At 43.5% G+C, this 14,438-nt stretch overlaps 1 long non-coding RNA gene across 1 annotated transcript in view, besides 1 other annotated feature; it reads right to left on the reverse strand.

The window, feature by feature from the left end:
- Window positions 5,970-6,170: a silencer, noted in NCBI's record as "peak6830 fragment used in MPRA reporter construct". NCBI's record gives its function as "represses an SCP1 promoter by STARR-seq MPRAs in K562 erythroleukemia cells {active_cell/tissue: K562}" and the evidence as "EXISTENCE:reporter gene assay evidence [ECO:0000049][PMID:32103011]".
- LOC124901766 (uncharacterized) overlaps window positions 9,407-14,438 on the reverse strand; it is a 28,671-nt gene continuing 23,639 nt past the window's right edge. Inside the window, exon 3 of the long non-coding RNA XR_007060577.1 lies at window positions 9,407-10,326. This is a non-coding gene — a long non-coding RNA (uncharacterized LOC124901766). The remainder of the gene's footprint in view (window positions 10,327-14,438) is intronic.

Genomic DNA, 14,438 nt, shown 5'->3' on the forward strand with positions numbered 1-14,438 from the left:
CCACCATCAGAGTGAACAAGCAACCTACAGAATGGGAGAAAATTTTTGCAATCTACTCATCTGACAAAGGGCTAATATCCAGAATCTACAAAGAACTCAAACAAATTTACAAGAAAAAAACAAACAACCCCATCAACAAGTGGGCGAAGGATATGAACAGACACTTCTCAAAAGAAGACATTTATGCAGTCAACAGACACATGAAAAAATGCTCATCATCACTGGCCATCAGAGAAATGCAAATCAAAACCACAATGAGATACCATCTCACACCAGTTAGAACGGTGATCATTAAAAAGTCAGGAAACAACAGGTTCTGGAGAGGATGTGGAGAAATAGGAAAACTTTTACACTGTTGGTGGCACTGCAAACTAGTTCAACCATTGTGGAAGACAGTGTGGCGATTCCTCAGGGATCTAGAACTAGAAATACCATTTGACCCAGCCATCCCATTACTGGGTATATACCCAAAGGATTATAAATCATGCTGCTGTAAAGACACATGCACACGTATGTTTATTGCGGCACTATTCACAATAGCAAAGACTTGGAACCAACCCAAATGTCCAACAATGATAGACTGGATTAAGAAAATGTGGCACATATACACCATGGAATACTATGCAGCCATAAAAAATGATGAGTTCATGTCCTTTGTAGGGACATGGATGAAGCTGGAAACCATCATTCTCAGAGAACTATCACAAGGACAAAAAACCAAACACTGCATGTTCTCACTCATAGGTGGGAAATGAACAATGAGAACACTTGGACACAGGAAGGGGAACATCACACAATGGGGCCTGGGGGGGAGGGGGGAGGGATAGCATTAGGAGATATACCTGATGTAAATGACGAGTTAATGGGTGCAGCACACCAACATGGCACATGTATACATATGTAACAAACCTGCACATTGTGCACAGGTACCCTAGAACTTAAAAGTATAATAAAAAATATATTTTAAAAGAATTTCTTCCAGTACTGAGGGGATAACCGTCTAGTGTTTACACTGATTTTAAATATCTTTCAGTCTGACACACATCCAGAGGCAATTTTTAATTGCTGCTTCTGACAAACTATAGCCACTTTGACTTCCCAAAAGTCTCTGACAAATAGCCTGGAAACTCCCACTCAAAAACGATCGTTCTTGTTTGTGAACCTTTCCGACAGACCAGGCTGGCCAACTGTGTCATAATGTATTGCTGTAATTAAGCATTTTGACGGGAAACAGACTTGTTTATGTTCCTAGCCAATGTGCCCTGCTAGGTTTCACACCCGGAGCTGAAGACAGAAACTGAACAGGGAAGCCGGAGCGCAACAGAGGAGCCTGTCAGATATAGAAACTGTACATTTCTGCCAGAGCCTGGGGGGCAGTGTTGTTCTTGCCCATACTCGCTCTGTGACATCAACTGTATGGACTCAGATGGAACCGACTCTGACATTTGCTGTTTTAAAAGGCAGGCATGTTGGAAGTTCTTCCTCTGTGTTTCCAGTCCTAGTTAACAGCATAGCCATCCATCTGGTCAACCACGCTGGAAAATGCAGGGACAACCTTGATCTCTGCCTCTCCTTCCGCCTTGCATATTCAGTCCATCACATGGGCTTTCAATTCCATCTCAGAAAAGTGTTGAGACAAAATCCGTCCCTTTCCACCCCCATAATCACTATCGATACTTTATGCCCTCATTTTTCTTGGACTAGTTTTCTTGACTTTAGTTAGATCCTTTTACCTAGCTTGAGTCTAACTCTCTTTAACTCAGCTTTTAAGCTGCTGCCTGGGTTATTTTTCTAAATCACAGATTATCCAGTGATCCCACTTAAAAAAAAAAAAAAAAAACTTGACCCTAATCACCTGTAATCACCGGCAACATTATTTTCCAAAATGAGATCTAGGGAACTCTAGCACTACAGGATTTTTACAGGTATTATTGGAAGCAAGGATTTTGTTTGGTAAACTATACTTAGGACTGCGAAGTTAAAAGATGGGTTTATTATTCTTTATTATATAATGTGCCAGCTGGGCACAGTGGCTCACACCAGTAATCCCAGCACTTTGGGAGGCCAAGACGGGCAGGAGTTCAAGACCAGTCTGGCTAACATGGCAAAACCCCGTTTCTATTAAAATACAAAAATTAGCCGGGGATGGTGGTGCACTCCTGTAATCCCAGCTACTCAGGAGGCTGAGGCAGGAGAATCACTTGAACCGGGAAGCGGAGGTTGCAATGAGCCGAGATCGCACCACTGCACTCCAGCCTGGGTGACAGAGTGAGACTCTGTCTCAAAATATAAAAAATAAAATAAAAATGTGCCAGAGCCTTTAAAGTGCTCTTGTATATCATGTAGCTCCAAGAGACAGGGTGGAGCACTTGGGGATTTCCAAACGTATCCGTTCTGGAACTCTTTTTAAAGAGTATATTGTAGGCCAGGTGTGGGGGCTCACCCCTGTAATCCCTGCACTTTGGGAGGCCGAGGCAGGTAGATCATCTGAGGTCAGGAGTTTGAGACCAGCCTGGCCAACATGATGAAACCCCGTCTCTACTAAAAATACAAAAAAATTAGCTGGGCGTAGTGGCACACGCCTATAGTCCCAGCTACTTGGGAGGCTGAGGCAGGAGAATCGCTTGAACCCAGGAGGTGGAGGTTGCAGTGAGTCGAGATCGTGCCACTGCACCCCAGCCTGGGCAATAAGAGCAAAACTCTGTCTCAATAAATAAATAAATAAATAGAGTATATTGTAAAAGTAGGGCTGTTATGTTCCTATGGAGCATACTTCAGAGGATGCTGATCTAAAGTATAGCATAAAGATCAAGATCTGGCCCTGAAACTCCCTTTCCAGCCATGATGGTATGAATTCGGATATGACACAACTAGTGGTTGGTTCCCATCCTCTGTCTGGCCCATTTTCAAACACGGTAGTGTGGACCCTTTCTCATCCATTCTCATCTTCTGGGTCAGGGGAAAATTAGCAAGTGACTGCCTCCTGGTGAAATTGAAATAGTGTCATCCCTCCACACAGAAGTGGCATGATCGTTGTGTTTGGGAAGGCTTAGAAAGTGGGAAACATGAGCTTGACAGACTGCTCTCTGAAGCGAGAGGGCTGCCACGGGGCAGGCTGCTGATGGTGACAGCACCAGCTCCCCGATTTGAACAAGACACCCTGGAGCCAACAAGGGCTTTTTTCTGTGGCCAGTCCAGAAAACTTGTCCCTAGCGCTCCCCTGAAGACCTTTCGGCTTCTACTGCAGGCCATGCGCTCCCAGCCTGCCAAGGAAGAGGCCCAGCCTGCACTCAACAGTCGCCCCCACCCCATGGCACCGGACCACTCTCTCCCGTGCCATGCTGTCCTCTTGGCAAGGCTGATCCCAAATGATCTTAGACTCTGTCTTTGATGATCTGCTTGTGAGAGCCTGAGTGAGAGCAGCTCATCAGGTCACACCCCAGTGAGCGAGAACAAGGCTGGGAAGAAGGGAGAGTGGAAGAACCCTGATTATGTCAGTCTCTTTCATAACCCTCCACGGCCCTCTATTATCTAACCAAGATGACTCTTGGTCTGACATCAGGATTCTCTGCGACAGCCCATCCTCCACAACCCATCCCTCTAATTACTGGGACAGCACAGTGATTAAGAGTGAACCATGGAGGTAGGACTCTTTGACTCAAACCCTACCTCTACATGACCTTAACTTCTCCGAGCCTTGGGCTCCATGTCTGTAAATAGAAGGCAATGGTAATAAATAGTGCCCTGCTTCCATGATTGTTTTCAGAATTGAGATCATGCATGTGAAGTGCTTAGCCCATAACAAGCATTCAATAAACCAGGGGTTTGTAAACTCTGGTCTGTGGACCAAATTCAGCCCACCACCTGTTTTTATAAGTAAAGTTTTATTGGAACACAGCCACACCTGTATGATCTATGGCTTCTTTCCTGCTATAGCAGCAGAGGTAAGTCATTGCAACAGAGACTGTGTTGTCCACAAAGCCTAAAATATTTATCATCTGGCCCTTTACCAAAAAAAAAATTGTCCAACCCCTGCAATAAATGCTAACTTGTTAGTGTATTCCATTCAAGCCATATTGCTCACCATTTCTTGAATGCACCCTGTCATTTCCTCCTCTGTCCTTTGCCGAGGCCTTCTGTTCACCTAGAATGCCCTTTTCACCCACCTGCAGAGCTAAAACACCTAACACAATGTCCGACTCTAGTAATTCTCAGTAGCTGTTTCTTTCTTCTCTTCCCAGCTATGAACTTCTATGACTCTAAGATTCTCCTGATCCTATTACAGCTAAAAATGTTATCTTTCTAACATCAGTTTCTTCATTGATGCAAACTTCTGACACTGTTTTCAGATACAACTTTATATGTCCCTGTTCCTTTTTTTTCAATAGGACCTCAATAAATATTTGTTAAATGAATGACAATCATGCTATATATCATCATATATGTCTCTGTGCCCCCTAGGCTTCAATTCAAGCATTAGCTTCTCCAGGAAACCACCCCTGAACCTACAGTTTGGACAGGTGGGTAGTCTCAGTGAAGCACCACAAAGATCCAATCTGATCAAGGATACATTTGGAGTCCAGAGACTATAGAAATGGTGAGGACATGCCTTTATTATTCCTGCTAGATAACCATCCACACAGTGCTGAAAGTGCCTCACACGGGGACCCGAAGCACTACTTGTTGTCTCCTTTGTCATCATCATAGTCATCAACTTCCTCTCTTCCTCCTCCTCTTCCTTCTTCTTCCCTTTTCTTTAAAAATTATAAACTATATCATGCAGAGTAATTGTATATACACATATATAGTTTAAATGACGAATAGTCTAATATATAATTTAAATAATAATAAAGCAAACACCTACGTGGCCACTACCCAGCTTAGGTAATGGACCACCATCCATCAATGACGGGGACACTCTCTTCATACGCATGTCCATTACACCCCCTCACTCTCCATCTTCCACCATAGGTAGCCACTATCTTGATTTTCATGTTATTTAATCTTTTACTTTTCTTTCAATTCTACCCCGTATCTCTAAGCAATACATTATTGACTTTTGTCTGTTGTTCGCCTTTATGTAAATTGAACCACACTGGATGCATTCTTCTATGACTTGTTTTTTTGTTTTTGTTTTTAAGATTCACCAGTATTGATTCTTGGAACTATACTTTCTCCATTTTCACTGCGCATAGTATTCTGCCGTATGAATACGCCAAAATGTACCTATCCACCACTGTTAATGAACATATTGCATTGTTTTATATTTTTACTCTTATAACTAAGGATACTATACATACTCCTGCCAATTATAGTCCTTGTAATATGTTCCTCAGTGTAATTGCAGAGGTGCTAGAAGATTCAACTTTGTTAATTGATGCAAAATTGTCTTCTGATGCAGTTGTGCCTATTCATGCTCCTAACAGCATTGTGGGAGAGGCCTCTGCTTCACAGCCTCAGCAACACTTTATATTATTTTACTTTATTTTTTGCCAATTGAGTGTAAATTGATATCCCTTAGTGGGTTTTATTTTATTGTTTGAGACAGGGTCTTGCTCTGCCACCCAGGCTGGAGTGCAGTGGTGTGTCCATAGCTCACTGCAACCTTCATTTCCGGGCCTCAAGCGATCCTCCCACCTCGGCCTCCCAAAGCGCTGGGATCAGAGGCGTGAGTCATCTCACCAGGCCAGTGGCTTTAAAATTTATATTTTCCCACTTGCTAATGAGGTGGAACATTTTTTCATAAACTTATTGGCCATTTATGTTTTTTCTTCTGTGAAATGTTCATTCATGTCTTTTGCCTATTTTTAAATGTCTTTTTTTTAGTGATTGATTTTTTCATTTATTTAAAAAAATTTTTTTCTTAAAGATTGGTAAGAATCTTTTTTACGTATTCTGGATTCTAATCTTTTGTCCATTCTATGTGTTACAAATAACTGTTCTGGAACTCCTAAAAGAAGATCCCTATTTAGGAATCCTGTCCCAAAAGGATTCACGTCTCGAGTACCAAGTCTGGTGACTCAGCTCAGAGCAGCAGATTCCTGAGTGCTGAGGTTGCAGGGTGCAGCCAGGGCCAAGCTTAGTTTTCCTACTGGGGCAATACAGATGAATAGAAGTCCTGTGACCACTGCATCCATGGTGCTGGTAACCAAACCTAGAATTCTGGGGCTCCAGACAGCGTCTGGGATGCTCTCTGGAGACACAATCATGGGCAAGGGTTTCTATTGTCCCTTCTTCTTCAGCAGTTCTCAGCATCATCTCAGCAGTTCTCAGTTCCCACAAGCTGCCTCCTGCCCGCTTGTCATCAGAGCTGATTGGTCCAGGGAGGCTGAGGAGCCTAATGACCACTCCTGTTCTGTGTGGTCAACGTCCAGCTGGTCAGCGTCCAGAAGCTTCTGCTCAGCAAATAGCCTTTGGCTGCTCACGCACAGCCTCTCTAGCGATGTCTCAGCTCAGTTTTTCAGCGGCTGGCTGGGCTTTTTCAAGGCCCAGCCAGGGTAAGAAATAGCTTGGAGTCTGCCTGCTGTGCCTGGAGAAAGGCAACCCATGTCAGGCTCCGCAGCAGCTCACTGCCAGCACCCTCTAGGCGCTCATCTAATGCGCAGGGAGGCAGAACACAGCTCTCCATGCTCCCTGAAGAGGCCTTTCACAACGCAGAGAAAGAGAGCCCAGCAATACCCCTGCAATGTGTGGGGGACTGAGGTCTCAGAAACAGCCTCTTTGTCAGTATGAAAACAAAGACATGGACCTAAAGTCCTAAATTGTGTTTTCCAAAAGGCAAATACGTAAAATATGTAAACCAACTTTACTTCAACCTTGATTTACAATAACTTTTCCAGATCTGAGAAAATTCCCCAAATTAAAAATCCAAAATGGATTCCCTTGGCATGTTTGAAAACATGCTTCCTCTCTGGTCCAACTATTTTAAAATTCTACTGAATTTTTAAATTTACCGTGGCCGGGCATGGTGGCTCGCACCTATAATCCCAGCACCTTGCAAGGCCGAGGTAGGTGGATCACCTGAGGTCAGCAGTTCAAGGACAGCCTAGCCAACATGGTGAAACCCTGTCTCTACTAAAAATACAAAAATTAGCTGGGTGTGGTGGCACACGCCTGTTATCCCAGCTACTGGGGGAGGCTAAGGCAGGAGAATCACTTGAATCTGGGAGGCAGAGGTCGCAGTGAGGTGAGATCGCGCCATTGCACTCCAGCCTGGGTGACAAGAGCAAAACTCTGTCTCAAAATAAATAAATAAATTAAATTAAAATAATTAAAATTCTAGAGGTGAAGAAAAAACCCTGGTCCTTTATTTTCCGTGAGTGCCCTCAGTACCCCAAAAGAGGGAAAGCTCCCTTTCTGGAGAGGAATTCATTATCTCCACTAGAACTACCTTCCATTGTACACGTTAATTCACATGAGGCAGGCTATCAGGAAGTGAAATCTCTGGGTACCATGAAAACTTATTTCAGTTATTGATTTAAACTTCTTTTCCTGGGAAAAGTATAAAGAAAAAGAGCATCAGAGTTGATTCCATGTTTTAAAATAACCTAAATAGAGATACATTTGCCAATAAAATAACACGAAGTGAGAAAGAAGGGTAGACAGTGTCTAGAAACTAAGTTAACCCTCCTTCCTCTAGAGCTGATAAAAAGAGATCAGCTTCTTAAAAAGAAATCATATTCTTCCAATAGTAATAAAAACTGAGGTGTACAGGAACAAATCAATCCTGTGTTAAATGCGTGAGATTATGTTTGCATCCCCCTCATTTCCTACTTATTGTACTACAGACTTAAAGCAATTTCGGACACATTGGAAAAGCCGTCGGAACACTACATTCCAAAACAACAACTGTGAAATGGTCACAGGATACTGCCCAGTTCATCCCCATTTTTTTCATCCCAGAACACAAGAGGATGAATGGATGCAAACCAACTGGAGCCTGGAAAGATGAGTATACAAAAGCTATTCTGTAGGTGAAGTTGTTAAATACACCATTTCAGGGATACATATGTAATAGAAGGAGAAGATAATTAAAGGAAAAGGAAGGAAGGAAAGGAAGGAAACGAAAGGAAAGAAAGGAAGGAAAGGAAGGAAGGGAGGGAAGGGAAGGAAGGGAAGGAAGGAAGGAAGGAAGGAAGGAAGGAAGGAAGGAAGGAAAGGAAGGAAGGAAGGAAGGGGAAGGAAGGAAGGAAGGGGAAGGGAAGGGAAGGGAAGGGAAGGGAAGGAAACCCGTTTGGAAATGAGAAGATGTAAATAACACTGAGCTACATTACAGGGTAATGGGAAAATAACCTATCACTAAACACTATTGATTCTCTCTCTTAAACATTCCTCTGATTTGCCTCTTCTCTCTGCCATCCAAATCCAGGCCCATATCATCTCTCCCTTGGAAGATGTGGCAGCCTCTTAAATACACTTGCTCCTCCATCTCTCCCATACCAATCAATCCTACACACACTTCCAAAGTGCTTTCCCCAAAATGCAAGTCAAATCAGAACAGCTCCCCAGTGCCCGCAGCATAAAATCAAAACTGCCCAGCCAGGCAGGCTCGGCCCTTTACGATCTGACCTTGCCTTTCTCTCTGGCCCAGCTTCTCCCGAATGTGTTCTGTAGAATACTAATTCAAAGGGATGTTACAGACACAGACACACAAAATGGTTTCTTGGTGAAATAAATTGAGCAAGTGCTAGCAGGACAAAGTTAAGTGCAGGATTCTTCAGAACCTTTTAAATGCTAATAAACATTATGAATTTCCAAGAGAGTCTAATAAACACTGCAGTGCTCCAGCCAACTTTCCTCTTCAGGGTAGACAAACCTATCCTCCAGCTTCTGGGAATATTGGCCACTGACCATTCACAGGCCACCACCTAGAGCTCTGGCTCTCACTGGGATTTGTCCTCAGCCACAGAGCACTGTCTTAACCAAGGATGTGCCTTGGGTATAAGTGACTGGTGATCTAAAGGCCTGGCCCTCTTGCCTCAATTTGGGACCACTCTGAAAGGCCATCCCAGCCCTAACGCTCTCTGGAGGATAGTCTGAGACCTCAGCTCCAACCACATCAGGTATCAGTGTGGAGGCCATGGAATGTGCCTGGTAGAATTCCAACTACAGGGAGCATGAGTGACCCAGGGCCCCATGTTCCGAAACGTGTCTATGTGTACACTGAGGCCATGTCTACAGTGGGCTACTGCCAGTCCTGAGAGGCACGGGATGTCTTTGCCAGTAGACTTTGGCTGCAGCATTCTCCAACGGCAATCTCAGATGCTCCCACCCAAACTCCACCAGCCCCAGTGATATGCTGGTAAATGTTCACCAACTACATGATTTTACTATAAATTGTGCTGATATAACAGATATGTAACACACAACGTATACGTAATAATAAAATACACAATACGGTTTATTGTAAGCTCCATATAGCCATTGATTCTCACCGAATGCTTTCATTGGTTTTTGCTGAATTCTGCATCTGTAGTCAGCGTAGGGTCATCAGGGATGATTGAGCGTAGACACAACATGAAGGTTGATTGACATTCTGTTTATATTAATGAATAAGGCAAAAGTGAAAGCAAAAAATGTGCATCAGAGCTTCACCTGATAGACAATGACATGAGTGAATTCTTTGTTGAATCCAATAAGGGTTTTCAAATATCAGAAGCATGTAACCTCAATGCTTGTGCTATTCACAATGTCACAGCTACAGACATGACGCACTTTTTTGGTTTAATATGCATTATTAGCATCCTTTCCATCACTTTTTAAGCCTGGCAATCAACAAAACAATAAGTCAGGCCCCAGTTTGAAGCATTTGTCCATTTTTGTGATGCCAATAGTTGCACCATGGCTGATTTCAAGCTACTAGCGTGTGGTCAGAGTGTGGAGATGGGAAGAGATGGGCCCTGTATCCCATGACACAAGTAGGCACAGGGCGTCTGGCCAGTGGAAGTCCCAGGGGCCTGAGGTGGGTCTGTCTCACTTCCTTACACGCACGCCTCCCTGGAGCATTCGCCAAGAGACCTTCTGCACATAAGTCTCCACCTCAGAGTCTATTTTTAGGAAATCCAATATAAGACAACAGGGAATACAACATGCAGCATGCCCCAAATGTACTGATCATGGGACCAATTTCCATAGAGCGTCTCACAGAACTAGTGTTTTGTGGAATAAAATTTAGGAAAATGTGACCCAGCTTCTCCTCCTACACCTACTTATCCATTTACATGCAAGTCTCCAAATACACTATGTTTCTCCAGGCTGCAATTCCTTGCACATCTGTTCCTTTTCCTGGAATTTCAAGTGGACCATGAGGAGGAAGAAGTCAGTTCCCTGGAGAAATAAGGGGAGGAAGGAGAGGAAGGTTTAACCATATTCAGCAATACACACACAGAGTATTCATGCCATATGAATCAGGCCTCAGGATCACATTAGGTGCATATGAATCAGGATTTTGAATCAGGATTTGTGGGTACTCAGAGATTCTCTGCGTTCATTCAGGGGTTTGACTTCAGAAGGCAACAGAAGAGCCACCTGTCTCCTGGCTGCTTGGGAAGACACCACGGGAAGGGTACTTCTTAGAAACACAAGGTAGAAACAGGTTCTTGGTTCTTAACCAAAAGTTTTTCTTCACAGAAGATCAACTGTTTTTAAAATGAGAAAACAAAATCCTAAAGACAGCAAAATAAATGATCAAAACCAGAGTGCAGCCAGACGCAGTGGCTCATGCCTGTAATCCCAGGACTTTGGGAGGCTGAGGTGGGTGGATCACTTGAGGTCAAGAGTTCAAGACCAGCCTGGCCAACACGACGAAACCCCACCTCTACTAAAAATACAAAAAAGTTAGCCAGTCATGGTGGTGCACACCTGTAGTCCCGGCTACTTGGGAGGCTGAGGCAGGAGAATTGCTTGAACCAGGGAGGTGGAGATTGCAGTGAGCAGAGATTATGCCACTGCACTCCAGCCTGGGCAACAGAGGGAGACCCTGGCTCAGAAAAAAAATAAACAAACAGAGTGCTAGATACACGCTTCCCTCCCAACCCTGGCAAAGGCCTTTCAGGCCAGCGTTAACTCTTTTGCATATACTGCTCAGGATAGATGCTCAGATATTTTGAAGCCAATAGTGTTACTGCAAGTTAGGAGCAACCAGCACCATCGGGAGGCACGGAGTCTAGAGCCAAGATGCAGCCGGGCTTAAATCCCAGCTCTCCACTTTGCTGTGTGACCTTGATCAAGTTGCTTTACCTCTCTGAGTTTCAGTTTCTTCTATCTGCAAACTATAGATGATAATACTTACATGTTAAGAGTTGCTGTCAAGAGCATGGACAACATCCACAAAATGCTTGGTGCATCTGGTACATGCTAACTATCACTATTATTAAAATGCTCATTATCAAAAATTAAACAGAAAAACCGAGGCACTAGGGCTTATTTCTTCTTGTAAGCCTATATGACTGTTTTACACTGAATGAGATTGGGAATCCACATCCTTTGGTTTCTCAACCAGATCTTTGGAGTCCCGTATCATACTAATGATCGTCAATGACCTGAAAAATCATCCAAAGCTCGGCTGGTGCTGACAATGACATTTTCCATGATGGTGGACATAAAACTATAATCTGCTTTTAGATTTGTACCTGGCAAGATGCTTTTAGAAAATTATTTAAATTTTCAATATAATGACGGTTGCTTTCTTTTACAATAATTGGCTGATGGGTAGACTAGAAGCCTAACCCTCACCATTATGTAATATACCCATGCAGCAAACCTGCGCAAGTACCCCCAAATCTATAACATTTTAAAAAATAAAACAAATAACAAAAACCAGCTAAAAGTATAGATGGGAAATATTTCTCTGAGTGCTGCACCATTTTGATGGAAGCTGACAGATTAAAATTCTCAACAAATAAACCCACCGTGGAATGCTAAAGTACACTTTCGGGCAATTTTTCAGAGCAATGGATTCAATTTATTCTTGTCACCATAGCAACAAGAGGAATCGTTCTATTATTTTCATCATAGCATTTCCAATTATTTTCTCTCGCCTAGGCCATAGACAAAACTAGAAGGAATGAGGTTGACCACAAAATGAACCAAAAACTCATAACTTCCTCCCTGGATTAAAGGTTCCTCTTGGGTAGGTAATGCTCTTTAGCCATCATAAATCCCATATTAAAGTCTCCAGATCATCACTAAAAAAAAAAAGAAAAAATTATTTACTTACGAACATATCACTTTGTCCCTTTTGAATTGGGGGAAGCAAGAAATGAGACCATTTTACCAATTATATACACTTTAAAAACGTAAAACTAGTCATTTAATTTTCAGAGAGGTTTCCTTTGGGGGGGGGTGAAAGTAAATAATGTTATGCTTCAATGATTACACGCTCTCAAAAACTAAGCATGATTCTATTCTATGCCTCTACATTGTCAAATTTCGTATATGGGGGTTAAAATCACATGGCAGCGACTTATCCCTGAGGTCAGTGTGTCAGATGTGGCCCTTCACACACAAGACAGAGAGGAAGAGGCATAAATGTTCAAGCAGCACTGATTATTTACCACACACAATACCCACATGACCCCTTAAGAAGAATGCACCTAGGGAGCAGCCAAAGATAAATACATTCTACAGAAATGAATACAAATGACTTTTCTATCTATGTTACCAGCACACTCAGGCCTTACCAGCTTTGGGCATAAAATGATGCCACAGTTTAATACCCACTCACTGGATTAGAGAAACGGATCCTCCTTCTTTCTGTGTCCCTTTCCCACTCCTGCCACATATCTGATCATCTGAAGGTGCAGCCTCCAGGAGGCTCAGAAATCTGACCTCCACTCCATCTCTTCAGCTTCCTTCTCAGCCGGTTCGCTTTGACCACAGCTCCCTTCCCGCAGCTCCAAGATGGCGGCCACCGCCAAGGGAGGAGCCGCTGCCCTTCCCTTTTCATTTCTTCCTAAACTCAATACATTCCCTTCTCTTAATTCCTGACAGCATGGCTGAGCACTGTGGTTGCTTTCATATTTCCACAGAAAGGTCCAGGGATGAGAGAAGACATGGTGCGGCCACTCTCAGAGCCCATGGCCCTAATGTCACTGTGGCTATCGGAATGTTTGGCAATGATGGAAATATTCTACATCTGCACCGTCCAGTACAAGAGCCACGAACCACTACTATGGCTACTGAGCATTGTACTGTGGCTACTATGACGGGGGAACTGAATTTTACTTTTACTTATTTACTTTTTATTTTAATGAGTTTAAATTTAAGTTAGCCACATGTGGCTAGTGGCTGCTGCGTTGAGCAGCACAGTTCCAGATAAATCCATGGAGCCCTTCAAAAAACACCTCTCTGTATGTCCCTCTGTAGCCAGAAGCCAACCCTTTCCCCTCCAGGATTCCAATCCCAGGCCAACTTTCTGAGGTCCTAGTAGCTTCCCTTCCTCTCCTGACCACATCACTTGATCCAAGCTCAGCTTCTTCTCACATCCATTCAGTGCTCCTAGAGGTAGGGTAGCTGCTTTCCTCCTTTTCATAGCAGCTTCTAAATCATTCTCTCTTCCTCTTCCATTAAAAAAAAAAAAAAAAAAAGTTTTGGCTGGGCACGGTGGCTCACGCCTGTAATCCCAGCACTTTGGGAGGCCAAGGTGGGCAGATCACCTGAGTTCGGGAGTTCGAGACCAGCCTGACCAACATGGAGAAACCCTGTCTCTACTAAAAATACAAAATTAGCCAGGCATGGTAGCACATGCCTGTAATCCCAGCTATTCGGGAGGCTGAGACAGGAGAATCGCTTGAACCCAGGAGGTGGAGGTTGCAGTGAGCCGAGATCGTGCCATTGCACTCCAGCCTGGGCAACAAGAGTGAAACTCCATCTCAAAAAAAAAAAAAAAAGTTTTGACTTTCATATCATCACTTCATCTATTGCCACTGTCACCTACTGACCTCGAGGTCACTCCCCTTAACTTAGCTCTTGGCTCACTGCCACTCTCTTCACTACTACAGTGACTCTGGCCTCACGGTTTCTTGAGCTGTCTTCTTTCTGAGATTTTTTTTTCCCATTGGAATTTCCCACCCAACTCAGGCACACTCATATCTATGACCATGCCCCAGTCATTACTGGGAACTGCAACCTTGACATTTCCTGGACAGCAAGCATTTTCCCTCAGACAACTGTCTTCTGCCTCCCCGTTTCCCTCCCTCTTGTGCCCAACCCCCACAATCCTTTGGCTATGCTGGAACCTCCAGTCTATTGATCCTAACCCCTTTTCACTGTCCCTCATCCTTGTTCTCTTCCATTCTGACTCCACTTAGATTCTATGGTCAGTCACCGTAATTTATTCCTTTCATGTCCTTTCAACTCCCTTCCTCCACTTCTGTTTTCTTATACGTACTTGGCAAAACTAAAGCCCTAGATAAAACCATTCCTCTACCTATTTCATC

Source organism: Homo sapiens, chromosome 7, assembly GCF_000001405.40.
Source record: "Homo sapiens chromosome 7, GRCh38.p14 Primary Assembly".
Classification (NCBI taxonomy): Eukaryota; Metazoa; Chordata; class Mammalia; order Primates; family Hominidae; genus Homo; species Homo sapiens.